The 20,277-nt window shown below is 46.1% G+C and overlaps 1 protein-coding gene across 13 annotated transcripts in view, besides 1 other annotated feature; it reads right to left on the bottom strand.

Moving 5' to 3' along the window:
* Window positions 1-20,277, bottom strand: part of ADAMTS17 (ADAM metallopeptidase with thrombospondin type 1 motif 17) — a 370,539-nt gene that overhangs the window by 333,624 nt on the left and 16,638 nt on the right. The window lies entirely within an intron of this gene.
* Window positions 4,558-5,057: an enhancer, noted in NCBI's record as "H3K4me1 hESC enhancer chr15:100849823-100850322 (GRCh37/hg19 assembly coordinates)". NCBI's record gives its function as "activates a minimal SCP1, AML or CMV promoter by ChIP-STARR-seq in naive H9 embryonic stem cells {active_cell/tissue: H9 hESC(naive)}" and the evidence as "EXISTENCE:reporter gene assay evidence [ECO:0000049][PMID:30033119]".

Here is a 20,277-nt window from a genome sequence, read left to right on the forward strand (position 1 = left end):
CAGTTAAGTTTCTGGAGAGTCAAAAGTTATACTGAAATTTTCAACTGCATGTTGTGGTGCAGGAGCAGAGGGGGAGGGTCAGTACCCTTCATCCTCAACCCTGCACATTGTTCAAAGGTCAACTATAGAAAAAAAAAACACCTTATAAAGCTTATCTCATCCAGGTCTCATTTATTTTAAGCTTGTTTTAACATCTCAACCTGGTCTTTATGGCTCTTTGTTTCTTAGAAGCCCTAGCTTCTTGCCAGATTTGTTTATTTGTTTACCTATTTAGGATGCCAGATTCCTCAAACTGTTTCTGGTCCCTGAAATAAATCCGTCTCAAAGGCTGTGGTATTTGTACTCAGGTCTTCAGATGGGTTTGCTGTATTTACTCAAATTCCAACGACAAGAGCGCTGGCAAAAGCCAGTGCCAAGACCTGTGTGCACAAGGCCCCCTAGATGGCCCTGGTTCACGTCCCATCTCAGATCAGCTGCTAGAGGGCAGGCAGGTGCACCCAGGGGCTCACAGGCATCTGCCTACTCCATTCTGCTGGGCCATGGTGGGGTCTTACACTTGCCCCAGAGACTGAGACTGTACATTCTGAGGACACTTAGATCTGGATCTACCGGATATGTTATCTTATCGTGAGGGTGGTTTTACTGATGCATTCACATGTCAAAACTCATCACATTAGGCCAGTCATGGTGGCTCACACCTGTAATCCCAGCACTTTGGGAAGCCAAGGCAGGAGGACTGCTTGGGCCCAGTTCAAGACCAGCCTAGGCAACATGGCAAGACACCATCTCTAAAAATATATATAAATTTAAACAAACTCATCACATTGTACATTTGAATATATTCAGTTTATTGCATGTTAATTTTATCTCCGTAAAGCTATAATCAATTAACTGACCAAGGACACTCAGAGTGACTACACCACAGCTCTGACACCAAAGCCTTCTCTAGGCCCAATGCCCACAGTTGATGCACACCAATGTCCAAAGCTGGGCTGAAGAGCCCCATACCCGGTATGCTGTCTCTGAACTATGGAATATGCTCTCTCCTCGAGCTGTCTCTGATCCCTCTGCACAGTAGCCCTTTGTCACTAGCGGTGTCACCTACCTACAGTTATAGAGGTGTGAAGAGGTTTTAAATAAGGCCCCCAAATTCTTTGACATTGAGCGGTGGGGTCTATCTCTCTGCCCTTGAACCTGGGTAGGTTTCTAACCGCTTCAGCCAACAGAGTACCTTCAGAGTGATGCTCTAGGATTTCTGAGGCTGATCCTCAAAGGCAGCACAGCTCCTGCTGGGCTTGCGGGAACTCTTGCATTGGGAGCCCTGGTGGCCATAGAAGAAGTATGTCTGCCACCAAGGTATGGACGCCAAGCTGCAGAGGCCACAGGTAGACGCTCCACGTTGTTGTCCTTGTCTTCAAGTCATCCACCTCCAGGCCAGACACATGAATGAGGCACCTCCAGATCACTCCAGCCTCCAGATTTCAAGTCCTCCCAGGTGAGGCCCAGACACTGTGGAACTGAGAAAAGCTATGTCCACCGTGCCTTGTCAAATCCCTGACCCACAGAATCTATGAACTTATTAAAATGGCAATTTCAAACGACTCAGCTTTGGGGTAGCTCATCGTGCAGCAACAGGGACTGAGACAGCAGTCAGCGCCATAACTTGTTCGTTTCTCCCATGCTCGAACTCGGTAGAAACCCTTATGCCCTGCTGTGCTTCCAAAGCCCAAAGCGGGGATGCAGCACCCCCTTGAAATACCTGAGCCAACCCAGACTTGGGCAACTGGGCATCCTGCAAGAACACAGGCCCAAAGAATTGCTCTTAGAAGGGCCTTTCACCTAAGCATAGCCCACAGCTTGAACATGACTTCCTTCCTCTGCTGACCCTGACAGAAAGGAGAACGAGGCTGAGAGAGGACCATGGCAGGGACTGAGGAGCACTTCATGAATGCCTGTGAGCAAACGCCATCCCAAAAGTCTGGGTTCAGGAGAAAAAGGCAAAGATTGACAAAATTATCTAGGCCACCTAAGAGGGCTTCTAGAGTTTTGCCCCATCCTGCAACAGAACACCTCTTTGCTTCTGAGGACCACACCAAACCAATGAAGCTGTCTATCACCAGCCCTACCCCAATGCTGTGTGATGACCACGTTATAGGACAGGAAAAAAGACTCTGCTTCTTGGACAGAGGGATGAGTCCAGGGCTGGGCACGTGACCCAAGCAGGGCCACTCAAATCCTTTCACAAAGTTTGGTGTGACGGGGTTCACAGGCACCAAGGACCACAAAAGCTGCAGCTGCCAGGGGCCCCCTGTGCTGCCATCAGGAAAGACCTGCCTGAGACTTAAGTAAACCCAGAGTGAAACAAAAGAAAGAGATGGCAAGAGCAAGCAAGGAAGCCCCAGCCACACTGCTGTAAACCCTGGGTCCAGCCATGACTAAAGCTCATATTACCTGATGGGCTTTTCACACGAGTCAATAAATTCCCTTTTATTTATTTTTCTGGCTTAGCTTGAGATGGAGAGAGGGCTAAGCAATGCAGACCTCCTGCCTCTGGTCCCTAAATGCCCCTTCATGTTTATCCAGCTGTAATGGGAACCATGCCGTTTTACTGTGATGAAAACAGCTGAGCATTTGAGGAGGAGAAAATGAGATAGCCGATGTCACGTGCCGCGTGCAGTGCCAGGTGTGGCTGGCGTCCTCCACAAGCTTCTGAAAGAGCACAACAGTGTGGGTTCCCACAGACCCCCTGCTGGGACCTGCCACCCACCACACAGCCCCAACACTGCCACACCTGGACGACAGTCTTGCTCATCTATAATGGTGCCCTGCAGAAAGAGTCCAATCATCACAAATCTGCCCTAGACAAGCAATTATGTTTTTTCTATGAAAAATACAAAATTCAACCTACGAGTACGTTCTAAGCAGCTGGTGCATATCCTGCCAAAAACGTCTCCACTTTACAGAATTTACTCCAGCTTCCTTTAAAACGGTAAGCTCATCTACTTCATTTAAAATTTGACCCACTTTACAGAAGTCTCACTTTTTAAAACAACTTTTCAATGACATCTATTACCAAAACATCATACCCCTGGAGCAAAACGGTCTCCGCTTTTTCTCCCACATACACAGACAACTCACACACACCCCACAAAAGGCTTGATCGTCCAGCCTTGTCAAAAAGTTATTATAAAACATTTTATTTTATCTGGCAGCCAGAAATTATGTTCAGTTGTCTGGAACACAGGCTGCTAGCGGCTGCTTGCCACAGACAACTGGAAGGAAAAAAGCAAAAGACGACAGTTGTAAATCTCAGAATCCCCAAAGATAAAGCAAGCAGGGAACACCATCGTTCACTCGCTGGTAGAATCCTCAGGCTTCCTGAGCAAAGTGCCCACGTCATTCACGCTGGAAGCAATTATAACAAGATTCTTGCTACAACTTGAACAGCTTCCTTTTTTTGCTATTGCTAAATGCTTTCCCTTTTTAGGTAGTTACTGATGTATCATAACTCCAAGTAACTACTCTTTAATATGGTTGAAACTGGAATGTCTTCAAGAAATCTGTACTGTCAGTGTTGGATTCATGAAAAAAGAAAAAAAAGTAATGGGAAAGGAAAACAGAATCCCGGGCTTAGCCATCCAAGTTTGCCCTGGCTTCTTCTGCCGGCTACTTTCTCCACGAGACAACCCAGTGTACATCACCAGGGGAGTCTGACTAAGCAGCAGGAAAGGCCACCCCAGGGGACACAGAGGGACACAACTCATGCACAACTGGGCATATCTTGGGGTTTCGTGCCCTGGTCAGATGAGGTGAGAAAGCCACACCAGATTCACAACCATCAATCCCTGTTCCTGTTTCTTCCCAAACTTCTGGGTCCCCAAATACAGCAAAATGGGCAGCTTGCTCAGGGAAAACTCTGATTTTCACAACTTAGATGTCCCAAAGAAAGCTACGTTCTCAACAACATGGTCCTCATTCTTACAGAGGCTGGACGCTGCATGCCCACAGAATGGCCATGTGGCCAGGGGCAATGGCTCAAGCCTGTGATCCCAGCACTTTGGGAGGCAGAGGTGGCAGGATTGAGCCCAGGAGTTCACGAAAATCCTGGGCAGCACAGTGAGACCTCATCTCCACAAAAAAATAATCAGCTGGGCGTGGTGGCACACACCTCTGAACCCAGGTACTCGGAGGCATGTGGGGGCGAGTGTGGGAGGATCGCTCGAGGAAGGTCGAGGCTGCAGTGAGCTGTGATTGTGCCACTGCACTCCAGACTGGGTGACAGGGCGACACCCTGTCTCAAAAACGCACAAAAAATGGAATGGCTATTCCCCACAGCTGTGATGGTGGTCGGCGCTGGGATGGAACCCACTGCAACCTCGGGGGTGCCCCCTGCCCAAGCCCCCTCAGTGAGGATGGATTTCGAGACAGGACTCAAGCTCTGGCCTGCCTCAGTCTGGTGCCTGTCTCACCACCCTGGCTGCCGCAGAGTCCTCTCTAATCCCAAACCCATTCCCATGGGCTTCTTGAGATTTCTGAAGCCTACAACGTGCCAGGCATGTGGACAACGTACAAAGGCACAGATGACACAAGCCATGCCCTTTCTCTGGAATCCACGTGAAGCCCAGCAGTTTCAATGCCTGGCTCATATCTTGCTTCCCCAGGGAGCATCCCCAAATCGCCATCATGACCTCTTTCCTCCTCTCCTCCAGAACTCTGGGCCCACCCCAACTGCCTGGGGGTCTGTGTGGCCAAGCCTGTTCTGGGCACTCTCTCTCCCTGCTGCCCCCGACCACAGTAGCCAACGCCTGTACACACGTGATGAAGCAAACACAGCAGAGACCCCAGGACCCTTGCAGGGGCAGCTTCAGGGAAAGGCGTCAGGGATAGGAAACAGGAAGATTTGAGGCAGATCACCTGCCGGCAAGGGACAATGTGCCCCGAGGGATGCACAGATGCTCTTGTCACTGCAACAGCCGAGCCGTCCTCGAGGCTGGGAAATGCATATTTATACTAAGGCAGGCAGCTTTTCAAACTCAGAGGCGAGCCAAGCAGGCCCGTGACAGAAATTCACGGATGTGCCGCTGAACACTCTGCACCAACAAGATGATTAACTGCCTCCCAGAAAGGAAACCAACAGGCCAAACACCATTCAGATGATACCCCCAGGGACAAAGCAGGCAGGAGACTCCGAACCTAAGCTGTGCCCGCTGTCGACCATCAGCCCCACACAGGGAGAGGAGGGGTAATAAAGCATCCCCCAAAAGCACAGTGAGAGAAGCAGCCACATCCCTGGCAGCAGTGGAAACAGTTTATCTTCTAGGAGTGTGTTGTATTTCTTTAAATATTGACACAAAGAATGGCTCATTCCCTTCGCAGGGGCCCAGCAGGCCAAGCACTGGCTTCCTAAGAAATCCACGGGACCCCAACCTATAAGCTGTGTCTCTTCGCTTACAGAGAAGAAAGGTCCCTTTCTGCTCCCCAATTCTGGAGCACGCCTAAGCACAGGGTGCAGTGTGGACACCAGAGCAGAAGGTCCCCTGCAGCAGATGTGAGCGAGACCTCTGTCCCTTCACAGCTGGTCCCAGGTTGCATCCACACCACCACCAAAGCCGACCACCAGTGACGCCTGACGTTTTCTGCTCCACTGGGTGGGAACACTCCCGGCTTTACTGGGCTTTTCCCCTAAGCTTCATTGTCCAGCTCCATCCAAACGCCACGGCAGGGGGTTTGATCTACGACTTGCTAATGGATTGAGAAAGGTACCAGCTCCTTCAGCCCAAAGCCAGTTTGTGCAACCCCATACAGGTTCCAGCAGGCAAATTCTCTGTCTGGTCGTGCACATGAAATTGCCTGTTGCTTTGGAAAGCAGGCTTTGCAAAAGGACCCACTGCATCTGCAGCTGGAAAACGCTCAACAAAACTGGGCAGCAGCTGTCCCGGTGAGACTTTCTGCTAGGCTTTTCCATGAGAAATTCATGTACTGAGAAGGCTAGACCTTTTTGCAGAGGAAAAAATGTAACCCGAAAGCCATTTCTTAAAAAGACCAGAGTGTCTGTTCTCCTTCCCTTGCCTCGGGTGGACTTTTTGGCCAGAGGCCTCCTGCCGGGAGGGAAGCCGGGTGTGCACTCTCAGTCACACATTCTCCCGGCTCTCTCCCTTGGAGGGAACATGAACGCCGCTGATTCAAAAATCAGACACTACTGCGGGAGCTGGCAGGGACCTCTCTCTCCACCCCCACCGCCCCCTGCAACACCAAGCCAGCACCGAGGCCATGCGCTCACTCAGCCGCCTGGCCCATGGCCTTCTGGGGGCCACCATCCCTCCTCCAGCCTCAGGGCTGGACCAGCTGCCAGGAGCTTCCCTGAGCCACCTGGACAGCCCCAGCCAGTGTGCACTTTAAATAATAAACTATGAATTCTTGATCCGTCTGCAGCTCGAGGCAGATTTTCCTATTTAAGCTGGAGGCCTTCTCTGCTTTGAGTTACTAAAGTGGGGCGGGCGTGTGTTGCATAAGAGTCCAGGGGAGAACTGGGAAGAGCCGACACCACTTCTTGTCCAATTCCTCTGTTTGGTGGAGCTGCATGTGGGAAAAAGGATTCAGACACATATGCGCACACACAAAAAATGGCATCATACCCTTTTATTTTTTGTTTCAATGTTTAGATTTTAGCTTTTCTTTCTTAATCAAGTAATATTCAAGAAGAGGTGCCTGCCCTAGCCTCACATCTGGGTTCTCAGAGAGAACATGTCCAACAGATAAGTGAAAAAGGAAAAAAAAAAAATACTTAATATTGACTGTGATTGCCATGCTTAGACTCGTGGGAGAAAAAAGGAAACTTCTTTATGTGTTGCAGTAGACGGATCAAGAATGCATGGTTTATTATTTAAAGTGCATGCTGGCTGGGGCTGTCCAGGTGGCTCAGGGAAGCTCCTGGCAGCTGGCCCAGCCCTGAGGCTGCAGGAGGGATGGTCGTCCCCAGAAGGCCATGGGCCAGACGGCTGAGTGAGCTCATGGCCTCCCAACACCCCAAGGATGTCCACATCCTAATCCCCAGAACCTACGAAAATGTGAACTTACATGGTAAACGGGGCTTTGCAAATGTGATCCAGCTAAGGTTTTGAGATGCACACGTTATCCTGGATTATCTGGGTGGCTTTGATGGGTCTTTAGATGAGGGAGGCAGAGGGAAATCTGACTACAGAAGAGAATTGTCAGAGTGACGCAGTGTGAAAAAGACTCAACAGCCACTGCTGACTTTGAAGGAGGGGGAAGAGGCCATGAGCCAAGGAATGCAGGCAGCCTCTGGGAGCTGGAAAAAATGAGGAAACAGATTCTCCCCTGGAACCTCCAGAAGGAATGAAGGCCTGCTGACACTTTGATTTTACCCCAGTGAAACTGATTGCAGACTTCTGACCTCCAGAGCCGTAAGATAATATATTTGTGTTATTTTACAACACTAAGTTTGTGGTAATTTGTTAGAGCGGTAATAAGAAAGTAATGCCTGAGTCTTGCCTTCCTGCCAGAATGCCTTGGATACAATGAAGACAATGAACTGCAGATACAGTGTGATGCTCAGCCCTTCAGGAGTCAGCAAAGCACTTCAGGATTACAGAAAACCAAATGAGGCAATCAGGGTGGACTTTCTGGAGAAGGTGACATCCAAATTGGGCCTCCAAAACCAAGAGAGATTTTCAAGAGCAGTACAAAGATAGACACAAAAAGGTCACTCCATACAGTCCCATGAGCCTAAGTATAACTTTAATGTACCAAAGGCCCTGTGACCTAGGGATGTGCAATCTAGGGTGACCTCCATTAAGTAATAATACATAAATAAAGGGAGGCCCTTACACATTTAAATTGGAAAATCTAGATACAATTTTCTAGGAAAATACAATTTACCAAAATTGATCCCATAAGCATACAAAGCTTAAACAGATCAATTTTCACGGAAGAAAGGGAGAAAGTTATGAAGCAACTATAGTCACAAAAAAGCATTAATCTGAGATGGCTCCACGGGGGATTCTACTAAACCTCTACAAAACCAATAGCTTCCATGGTTCATAAATTGTTTCAGAGCACCAAAAATAAATGAAAGCTTCCATACTTCTTTTCATGGAGCTATAATACTAATATCTAAACTGAAAATAACACACACACACAAAACAATATTATAGGGCAATATCACATATGAATATGGATGCAAAGAGCCTAAATAAAACACTAGCAAACAGAATGCAATAACACTCTGAGGAAAGAATACACCACAACCAAATGAGATTTATTCCAGAATTTAAGGTTGTCATAACATTAGAAAACTATTTACATAATATGCCACATTAATATATCTATGCAGAAAAATTATATGCAAGCCTCCATGATGTTGCAAAAGTGTTTGGAAGATTTGATACCCATGTCCAATTTTAAAAAATACACCCACACGGGCCAAATCTGAGACCGTTTGGGCATCTAAATAAATAAATGTAGAATGAATATTCATGAGGTAAAATAAGAATCTACAACTCCATGCAGCTAAACACAACCTTGGCCAAGTAACAGAAGTTGACATCCCCAATAATGGGACAGACATACAGCATGTGCCTCCTGATAAGATGCACTGAGCAGAACACAACATCACTGCTTTCTTGCTGGACACGTACACCCCAAATGTCACCATGAAGAAACGTCAGACAAAACCACCCCAAACGTCACCATGAAGAAACGTCAGACAAAACCACCCCAAACGTCACCATGAAGAAACGTCAGACAAAACCATCCCAAACGTCACCATGAAGAAACGTCAGACAAAACCACCCCAAACGTCACCATGAAGAAACGTCAGACAAAACCACCCCAAACGTCACCATGAAGAAACGTCAGACAAAACCACCCCAAACGTCACCATGAAGAAACGTCAGACAAAACCACCCCAAACGTCACCATGAAGAAACGTCAGACAAAACCACCCCAAACGTCACCATGAAGAAACGTCAGACAAAACCACCCCAAATGTCACCATGAAGAAACGTCAGACAAAACCAAATTTAAAGACATCCTACAAAATAACTAGTCTATACTAATATTTTGGGGAAAAAATGTGAAGATCAGGAAAGACAAATACAAAGGAATTAACCCAGATTGGAGAAGACTCGGAAGACATGACAGCTAAATGCAATATGTGAGTCTAGACTGGATTCTGTACCAAGAAAAGAAAGCTATAAAAGACATTACTGTGACAACTGGAAAAATGGAAATGCAAATGGCGTATTAGATAACAGTATTGTATCCCCTAAGTCTATCCTTACGTTAAATAAGGGTTCTAAGAAAATTTGTATGTATAGATAAAGGGACATGATGTCAGCAAATTAGTCTCAAGTGGTTCAGAACAAAATATGTGTGGAGGGAGAAAGGGTTGGAATACGAAAGAGAGGGTTGAAAGAGGGAAGAGAGAGAGAACACCATAAAGAGAGAAAAATGCTCATCAGTGAATTCGGGTGACAGATATACCAAAGCTCTTTGCTACTACAGTATACCAAAATAAGAAGCAAACCAAAAGTATGGGAGAATATTGTACAAGTAAAGGGGACAAGGATAACAGAGCAAAGAGTTATTTTTGAGTCTGGGTGACTGGAAAAAAAACTGGTGAGAACATGGACAGGCATCGTCAGACAAGACTTTGGTTCAGAAACACCAAGTTATTGGGAATGGACAGTGCCTGCAGCCAGCCACAAAGACAGGAGGCTGGGGACAGAGTGGGAGATATGCCGAGTGGGACTGCTCCCAGCTGGAGCCAGGAAGGATCCCAAGGCAGTGAGAAAAAGAGCAGCAGAGACCTGGGACACCCTGTTTGGAAGAAGGTGCAGAAGAGGAGCCGACCGTCCCTGGAGAGTGCATTTTATAAACCGGGAACTGAAGGAGGCACAAGGAGTGAGGGGTCCTTATTGTCAAATGCCTCTGAGGGACAAGGGGGCAAACCCCGCCGGCTCTGTTGTAATGGCATGACCTGGGGCAGGTCCCAGGTGGGAGACATCAGTCCACAGAACCCACCTGATCTCAGAGGTAAAAGCAAGGATGCTAGGAATGCTGGGCTGGAGGCCGGGAGGCAGGCAGGCAGCGTGGCAGGTGGGCGGGACCTTCGTCCTCTGCCCCAGGTATCCACTGCAGGGATAAGGAGTCCACCGTGCAGGGGCACTGCTGCTTCCTGCGGCAGCCTCGGCTGCCAGCCTGCTGACTCGGTTCACCCCTCTTTTCTCTCCCCCCACCCTTCCCAGGGAACACTGCAGGGAAATCAGAAACTGATCAGGGGACAGAACAACACTGGTGATCGGCCGATCTCAAGGAGGGTGGCTGTGTGAGGGCAGGGACATCTGTCTCTTAGGATCTCCAGTGCTCAGAACAGGGCTTAACACAGCATAAAGGAACATTAGTCAAGCAAATACATCACTGCATCACTGCCCTAGATAAGAGGGCACGTTACAAGTGTAAATGCAGAAGCCTGCCAGCTGTGATGGCTCACACCTATAATCCCAGCATTCTGGGAGGCTGAGGTGGGTGGACCAATCCAGTCCAGGAGTTTGCCACCAGCCTAGGCAACACAATGAGACCCCTGCGTCCACAAAAAATTTTAAAAAAAATTACAGAGGCCTAAAAATACACTAAAAGACAACTTTAAAGACACACACACTCACACACAGTCACTGAAAGCTTAAAAGTATACAGAATTTAACTCATACTTACATGAAGCCTCATTTAAACACTGCCCCAGGCCTGGCTTATCCATTTCCAATTGTCTCCAGATCAGCCCAGAAAGCAGGGACCACTGGAGGGAACCACGGGGGCAGAGGGTGTCCCTCCAAGGCGAGAGGCCCTTGCAGAGCCTAAGAGGCTCACTTTGGCCAAGCCTTGAACACTCCCGAGGAAATCTCCAAGCTGCTTTGTGGAATGACTCTATTTTTACAAAGTAGGAAGGATGGAAGGAATATGGCATAGATCAACAGGTTGTTCATGCAGGAAGAAATTTTTTTAACTGACTACACAAGGTTTTTTAGAAAGTAACAAACTTTCTTAAGTTACTAGCATTTTGAGAGGGTTAGGGCCCCAGCACTGTGCATTGATGGAATCTGCCACTGGCTGCCTCCCCAGGATGCCCTCCTGAGGTACCATGCCACCCCAACTTCTGCCATAGCTGTGGTGGCAGTGCAGCTGGCCCAGCCCCTCCTCAAGCATGTGACGCTGGCCTTTGATTTTTTACAGGTTTTCTTGCCTAGAAGCCCACTCCCTTGGCCTGCACAGGAGCATCTCAGAAATTTGGGAGCCAAGAACCCCCGGATCACACTTCCATTCTCGCCATCCGTGGGTCACGTCTGGGGAGCCTTCTGTGCACACTCCAGTGTTCCCTTCGGAATCAAGCCCATTGCCTGCAGCAACAATCTTGACACACACTCACTCCCCTTCCGGTGGATTTTCCACTGGATGCCAGTGGATTTTCCTCTGCCCTGTCTCTCTCTCCTGCTTCCTGGAACCCCCTCCCTCCCTGACACTGACCACCTGCACCCAAGTCCTCATCCCAGGCTTGGCTTTTGGGAAACCCACTCTATGGAAGTTTTCCATAGAGAGATGACACCTTACATTTTAATAATACTTTCTACTTCATGAAATTGCATTTGCATGAGTTCATTTAACTCAATTTAACTTGCAACCTGGAGAAGCAAATATATCAAGACATGCATTCCCTCTCTCTCAGAGATGAGGAAAGGTAGGAATAGGAGAAACAGGCTGACTTGTCCCAGCCTCTACGTGCTGGGAAGTAGGGGCAGGCCCTGCCCAAGGCCACTAGGCCCATCCATGGCTGTGTCCATTCCCAGTCACACAGGTGGGCAGCAGGAAATGTCCCTTTTACAGTATCTGACAGGCTCCACACGGTCATACAGCCTCCGGGGAATAATAACAGCAATCATCATAGTTTTTAGAGTGATATGGTTGGGTTTTAGCTTTATTCTCCCCAAAGGGTAATTACGAATTATCAGCACAACACCCCTTCCTAAAGGGTAAGTGTCCACTCACCCGACACCTCAAAAAAAAATCCTAAGATTTCCTCAGTCGTTTGTCTAAAAAACACATAAAAATGGGATGGAGGGACTTGGATAAAGACATAGTTCATATCAACCAAACGGCAGGGTCTGAGCTTCTCCTCAAAGCTTGTGAGGCACAAGCTTGGAAGACAATGGCAAACGTAGTAATGATGACGACTGAACACTCAGGGTGTAAAAGGGGCCCCATGGGCTTCTCTGGAAAGCACTGAAGTCCCAGAAACAATTATCTGGTGACTTCCACAGTGCCTCTGCCCCATGAGCACCAGGGAGACAGGAAATGAGGACCCAGGTTCCCAGCCTCAAAGGAGCAGAGGGTCTGCTTGACCCTCTGTTCTTCCAGGATGGACCCTCGCTCAGCTGACCCCTAACATCAGCTCCAGATCCCTCCAGATGAGCCGGTGGGGACACATCAGAAATGCCACAGGGCTGTGCTCTCGCAGGGCACGCAAGAAACACCATGCGAGGTGTGTGGCCCCAGGGAACAAATGTTGAGCATTTTGGGGGGGACAACACTGAGAAAAAGAGACAATGCTTGGACTTGAGGTCAGCAAAAGAAATAGTAAGTGCTTGCTCTGCTGACTTACGAGGCATGCATGTGGTTTTCTTCTCATGTTATGGTGACAAGGTAGCCTTTCTGTTCCTCTGCCATGGGTGCCTTGCTGGGCATAAAGCTGGGCACAGCCACCATTCCTGGTTTAGTTTCTGAAACCTGAGCTCCCAAAAGAGTAACACCAGGGGCAGGGGGCAGCCGTGAGTTGAGGGGCCAAGGCTGAAGCGGCCAAGAGCAGAGCATAGGACAGCGTCCTGTGAATGGGACATGTGCTTTTCAGTAGCGACCCGAATGCCAGAGGGACTGAGGGCCTGTCTTGAAAGTCCTGCCATTACAAAGCCCCAGGGACATTTGCAGGACATGGAAGGGAAGGCCTCCATCAATGACTGAGGTGACGGGTCAGAGTGCATGATCTGACTTTCAGATGATGAGACGATGACATTTCTGACACGCCTGAGTCCAAGGAATGAAACAGTCACACTGTTTCATGAGGGGTAAATCATTCATGAATAATTCATGAAACAGAGTCAGACAACAAGAAGGACCTAGATTTACCAGACAAAATCTAACACCCGCCCCCCCTTATAGTTTTTTAATACCAGGTATGGTCTGAGTGTTTATGTCCCCCTCAAATTCAGACATTGAGACCTAACCTACAATGTGATGGTGTTGGAAGGTGAAGCCTTTGGGAGGTGATTAGGTCATGAGGGTGGGGCCCTCATGAATGGTATTAGTGCCCTTATAAGAGAGTCTCCAGAGAGCCAGCTAGCCCCTTCCCCCAGGTGAGGACACAGAGAGAAGGCACCATCTGTGAAGCAGAGAGCAGGCCCCTCACCAGACACTGAGGCTGCTAGTACCTTGATCTTGGGCTTCCCAGACTGTAGAACTGTAAGAAATAAATTTCTGTTGTTTATGAACTATCTAGCTGACAGTTTTTGTTATAGCAGCCCAAACAGACTAAGACCATTCCTTAGGCAAATGCAAAATAAACAAACGGGAAAATCTCCTGTTCCAGAAAGGTGAAGAAATCTCACGCCTGTAAGTGAGTGAATGATCTGAGACCTCAACAATCCAGCAGTTGTTGGGCTCAAATATTGGCCTACTGGGTGAAGGGCCAATGTTAACCTACAACACGGAGATGGGGGAATCTGGCCAGGACCCCAGAGTGGCTGGACAACCCCGCCCATGGCACAGGGGTGCAGGGAAGTCTGTCTGCATTCAGAGTTCAGGATACCAGCGGGACATGGGCAGGGTCCCCAGTACAAATCCCCAAGCCTGTGCTACACACACAAGTAGATCATCCTGTGCTTCCGATGGCCTAAGGATAAGCACTGAAGGAGAGATGACATGTGCACTTGTGGAAGAGCCCTGGGGCATCTGGCAGAAGTGCATATGAAATGACTCAGTGAAGACTTTTCCATAATGCAGGGCATAGGGGACTCCCAAAGAGGGTAGAATAGCACTGGGGGCAGGGGGTGGCCTTGAGCCAAGGCTGAAGCAGCCAAGAGCAGAGCAAAGGACAGTGTCCTGTAAATGGGACGTGTGCTTTTCAGCAGTGACCCAAAAGCCAGAGGGGCTGAGGGCCTACCTTGAAAGTCCTGCCATTAGAAATTCCCAGGGAAGCAGGGCAGGAGGGAGAACACATCAGCAGAATTTGAGCTCACGGTATAAAATTACAATCCACATGTGAAAGGGAGTGTGAGCTGACACTCCTCAAGAAATTCAGAAGCTGGCTGGGCAGTGGCTCACGCCTGTAATCCCAGCACTTAGGGAGGCCGACGCAAGCAGATCTCAAGGTCAGGAGTTTGAGAACAGCCTGGCCAACATGGCGAAACCCCGTCTCTACTAAAAATACAAAAAAATTAGCTGGGCATGGTGGCACGCACCTGTAGTCCCGGCTACTCGGAGGCTGAGGCAAGAGAATCGCTTGAACCCAGGAAGTGGAGGTTACAGTGAGTCAAGACCGTACCACTGCACTCCAACCTGGGCGACAGAGAGAGACTCCATCTCGAGAAAAAGAAAAGAAATTCAGAAGGTGGAATCACTCAAAAAAGACTTCAAATAATTATACTAAGAAGATCTAGGTGGGGCGCGGTGGCTCACACCTATAATCCCAGCCACTCAGGAGGCTGAGGCAGGAGAATTGCTTGAACCCAGGAAGCAGAGGTTGCGGTGAGCTGAGATCCTGCCACTGCACTCCAGCCTGGGCAGCAAGAGCGAAACTCTGTCTCAAAAAAATAAATACATAAAAGATCTAAAGTGATAAAGGAAAGGTAACAGCATCATGAAAGAATAGGACACTATAAAAAAGACAGCAGTGGAAAAGAATCAGATATAACTTCTAAAAGTATTGAATATAATTGCGAAAATTAAAAACTCAGTAGAAGATTAAATGGAGATCAGACGTAGTTTAAGAAAAATCTGGTGAACTGAGAAACCGATGACAGGAAATTCTCTAGAACAGAGAACACAGAGATGGAGACCAAAAACGCAAAAAGATGACACAAAACATGGAGGAAAAAATAGTAAGATCCACATATATCAACTAGGAATTCCAGGAGAAGACGTAGGTAATGGGAAGAGGCACGTCTCCACGAGAGGGAGGCTGGGAAAATCACGACAAGTCCCAAACAGAATAAACATGGGAAGTCCACGGGAAATGCTGCAGAACCCAACAACAGTCCTGCACAGAGAGAAGGCAGAGCATTACACAGAATCTAAAATCAGAGGGGCAGAGGACCTTTTGTAACAAAAATAGCAGTCTGAACACAGTACAATAGTATCTTTAAAGTGTGAAGACTCAACCTAGGATTCCACATTTGGATAAATCGTCACTAAGAATAAGGGCGGAGGCTGAACACCATGGCCCACACCTGTAGTCCCAGCACTTTGGGAGGCCGAGGCGGGCCAATTGCTTAGTTCCAGGAGATGGCGACCAGCCTGGGCTACATGGTGAAACCCTGTCTCTAAAAATATACTAAAAATTAGCCGGGTGTGGTGGCGCATGCCTGTAGTCCCAGCTACTCGAAAGGTTAAGGTAGGAGGATCCCTTAAGCCTGGGAGGCAGAGGTTGCAGTGAACCAAGATCGCGCCACTGCACTCCAGCATGGGAGACAGAGCAAGACTCTGTCTCAAAAGAAGAAAAAAAGAGTAAAGGTAAAATAAAGACAGTTTGGACAAAGCAAAAATAATAATTTAGCCATTTGCAAACCCTCATTTAAAAATGTTCTTCAAGGACATTAAGCCCAGGGAAGAGGGTTGCAAGAAACAATACTGAGCAAGCTGACAAAGATATCAGTAAATCTAAATAATTCTAACTGCAAAAACATGATTACCATTCATTGGGAAGAGACAAAGACAAAATGTGGTTAAATTAACAGATAAAAATAACGTGTAAAATCAAGATAAAGCATTTGAAGGCTTTTATATTATCAATGAAGGAAACCTGATGCCTCAGACTTCCTTTATATATTTTTAAGGCAACAACAACAAAATTTTAATAGATTATCAAATTTCCACACCAGTGGAAGAGAGAAGGGGAAATTTTTTTTAAAAGTTGGTCAAGCCAATAGAAACAAACAAACAACAACAAAGAGAAACAGAAGCAAAGAAAAAGCATGGTATAGTAAACAGATAAAATAAATAAAATGAATTCTAGCAATACTAGAAACATGAAAACACTAACTCTGCCAATGAAAAAACATATTCCCAAATTTGACATTTTTTAAAAAATTCAAATATATCTTACTTTTAAGAAACATACGTACATCATCATGACAGAGAATGACTGAAAATAAAACTAAGGGAAAAGAAACATCAAGCAAACATTTACCAAAATAAAACCTGACTGGCAATACTAACGTTAGCTGAAAACATCTGGAAGGACAAAAGTATTGGCAGGGATAAAAATGGCCCATTACATGATGATAAAAGGAATGGCTCACCAGCCGTACAGCTCATACACCTGTGTGCACCAAACAATACTGCCTCACAACTTACAAAGCAGAGATCAATAGAATTAAAAGGTAAAACTGGCCAAGCCACAATAAGTTATGAGATTTTTAATATATCTCTAAAACAAATCAAGCAGGTCCAAAATAATGAGACTATAAATGATTCTGACATCACACTAACTTCAGTAAATGGGCATATAGAACACAACAATTAGAAAATATATAATCTGTTTGCAGTAATTTGAGATTATGTACTCTTTTCATTTATACATAAAACATTTATTAAAACAAAAACATCTATGTTCTAGGCCACGATGCAAATCTCTACCACTACCAGTAAATCAATGACATACGGAATTCAGTATGCTCAAAAGCTTCTAATAAACCTAATCCTCCTACAGATAGCAACTGTAAACTTGAAAAAAATACAAAAATCCAAACACCTGAAGGTTGGAAGATGTGGGTGGAGTCAACACTTGGAAGACAGGAACAGCACAGGAGACTGAGGGAAGGCCTGGTCAGTGCCATGCAGAAGGGGTAACGCTCCAACAGAAAGCTTGCAGCCCCTGTGATCTGAAGAACCAGAGGACAGAGTGCAGGGCAACAAGGTGACTGGAAAGTATGGGGGAGGCATGCTGGAAAGGAGAGATCCACAAAGGGGAAGCCGAAAATTCTGTATATAAATTCTACCCAACTCTCAGGATGATGCCTACATGGAAAAGAGTCTAGTTAAGAATAAAAGAACTGAGATTTGAGTTGCCACCCAAGATACAAATTCTGCAGTCTGAGTCCAACAAAATTAATTGCCAGCTAAAATACTCTCCAGAGTAATAGAATTCAGAATCTCCACGTTACATTTACAATATCCAGAACACAATCCAAAATTACTTGACACATGAATAACTTGGAAAATGTGACCCCTTTTTAAGAGAAAAGACAATCAATGTAGACCAAACCCGAAGATGACCCAGATGTTAGAATAGCAGACAAGAATTTTGAAGCAATTATTACCATAATGCTCAAGGACTTAAAGGAAAATGTGCTCATGATGGATGAAAAGACAGGAAATTGCAGCAGAAATACTGACACTACTTAAAAAATGGAAATATCATATGCACCACATTCTCCATTGTTATACACAGAATTATAAATTGGCCAGGCGTGGTGGCTCACACCTGTAATCCCAGCACTTTGGGAGGCTGAGGCAGACAGATCACGAGGTCAGGAGATCAAGACCATCCTGGTCAACATGGTGAAAGCCCATCTCTACTAAAAATACAAAAAATTAGCCAGGCGTGGTGGCGGGCACCTGTAGTCCCAGCTACTCAGGAGGCTGAGGCAGGAGAATGGCATGGACCCGGGAGGCGGAGCTTGCAGTGAGCTGAGATTGTGCCACTGAACTCCAGCCCGGGAGACAGCGAGACTCCGTCTCAAAAAAAAAAAAAAAAAAAAGAATTATAAATCATGTTGTAAAGATACCAAAAAAATTATATGAAAAAATAAAAATTCAATTAATTTATAGCATAATATTTACTTTCTGCCACATGCTGTGTTTACATATATTAACTTAATCATCTTAATTTTATAAAATACATGCAAGCATTATCACCCTTTTACAAATAAAGAAATTGAGACACTTTAAAGGGGTTAAATAAATAACCCAAGGTCACTCAAGCTAGTGGTAGAGACAGGAAATCAAATCCAGTAAACTTGTGTCTAAATTCTTACCACTATACTGTACTGCCTCTTTAGGGAAAAGGTATGTGGAAATTACAGACTATTTAGAAGTGGGTACTAGAAATATTACATATGAAAATTTGTATGCCCCTACAGGTGTGCTTACAGGGAAATGAGTAGCCTTAAATACAGAAATTAAATATGAAGATAGTAAAATTTACTGAGCTAGGTATTCTACTCAAGAAGTTAGGGAAAAAGCAATAGGAATAAACCTAGAGAACATTTAAAAAAGGAATAAAGGAAAAAAAATAAAGATACAAATAGAAATTCAAAAATAAAAACAAAACCAAGCCAGTTCTTCGAAAAGGTTAATAGACAAAACTCTGCAATAAAGATAAATGAACTAGATTTGCATTTATTAAGATGGATAAATCTAGAAGACATGACTGTGAGTGATAAATGCAAGCTGCACAGCATAAAATCATTTATGTGAATTTTAAAACATACAAAACAATACAGTATGCAGTTTATGACTATATATCATAATCGCTATAAAAGTACAAAAAAACATGGAAAGGAAGGGGTCCCCTATGTCAGGTCAGTCTGGTGGTTGCTTCCGGGGAATAAGCCAGAGCCATGATAGTGGGTGGAGGGGAGAACGCCATCAGTCACATCCGTAAACGTTCCTTTCTCTCAAAAAAAAAAAAAAAAGAAGAAAGCATCCCAGCACTTTGGGAGGCCGAGGCAGGCAGATCACCTGAGGTCAGGAGTTCAAGACCACCCTGGCCAACATGGCGAAACCCCATCTCTACTAAAAGTACAGAAATCAGTCGGGCGTGCTGGTGGGCACCTGTGGTCCCAGCTACTTGGGAGGCTGAGGCAGGAGAATCACTTGAACCCGGGAGACAGATTTTGCAGTGAGCCGAGATCACGCCACTACACTCTAGCCAGGGTGACAGAGTGAGACTCCGTCTCAAATAAATAAATAAATAGAAAAAAAAAGCTCTGAAGCAAATCTGACCACATGTTAACATAGGGTAGGTCTGAATACTGGATACGCAGGTTTCTTTTTTGTGTTTTGCCTGTTGTAAATTATTTCATAATTCAAAATAATTTACACCTGCTACATTCATTTATGTCTTTACTGCCTATCTCCCCCACCAAACCCTAAGTTCTCTGGAGGCAAGGACCATACTATGTCATGTTCGCCATAGTATGCAAATCTCACCAGAGTCCGGAGGGTCAGTGAGAAGGGAAGCATAACTTCCTGTCTACAAATACTAAGATTCCTTGATTTCTTGTGGATTTGCTCAAGAGGCAAGGATGGCAGATTCAAGAATACTAATGAGAGTCTCTAGCTCCCAGCTTAGTGCTCTGCAGGCCCTCTCTCTCCCTGACTTAATACAGAAAAAGGGCATTGAAGTGGTCTCCTCAATAGTCAAAAATGAGCAGGTGAATTATAACCACAGCAGCTGCAGCAATAGCCAACATGGACTGGCCCTAAGTGGCAAGTCTGCATTAACTCATTTAATACTCACAAAAGCCCTAAGAGGTAGATGACATTACAAGGAAACTGAAGCTCAGAGAGGGTGGCACCATTCTAACTTGCCTGAGCTTACACAGCCCCTCAAATTGTTATCAAGAGTGTAACTGAATAGCTGACCAGCCAACGATGGTGTCTATTGTTACAGACAGGGTCCCTTTGTGTGGCCCACTTCTAGTTTCCTGTAAATGTGATTTTTACCTTTTAGACATTTATGACGGTTCGCTTGAACATGCCCTCCAGAGTGGCTGGAGGTGGTTACAGCACCCCTGGTTCTCAGTGTTCCTCCGCAATTATCCTACAACAGACATCACCACCCCATGGTGCAGGTAAGAAAACAGAGGCTGTGTGGCTTGAACTATGCACCACACCCCTGCCCACCACTCCAGAACCCTGCCAGATTCCTATGTTGAAGTCCTAACCCCCAGGACCTTAGAATGTGGTTGCATTTGCAGATAGGGTTTT

This window comes from Homo sapiens, chromosome 15, assembly GCF_000001405.40.
Source record: "Homo sapiens chromosome 15, GRCh38.p14 Primary Assembly".
NCBI classification, from domain to species: domain Eukaryota; kingdom Metazoa; phylum Chordata; class Mammalia; order Primates; family Hominidae; genus Homo; species Homo sapiens.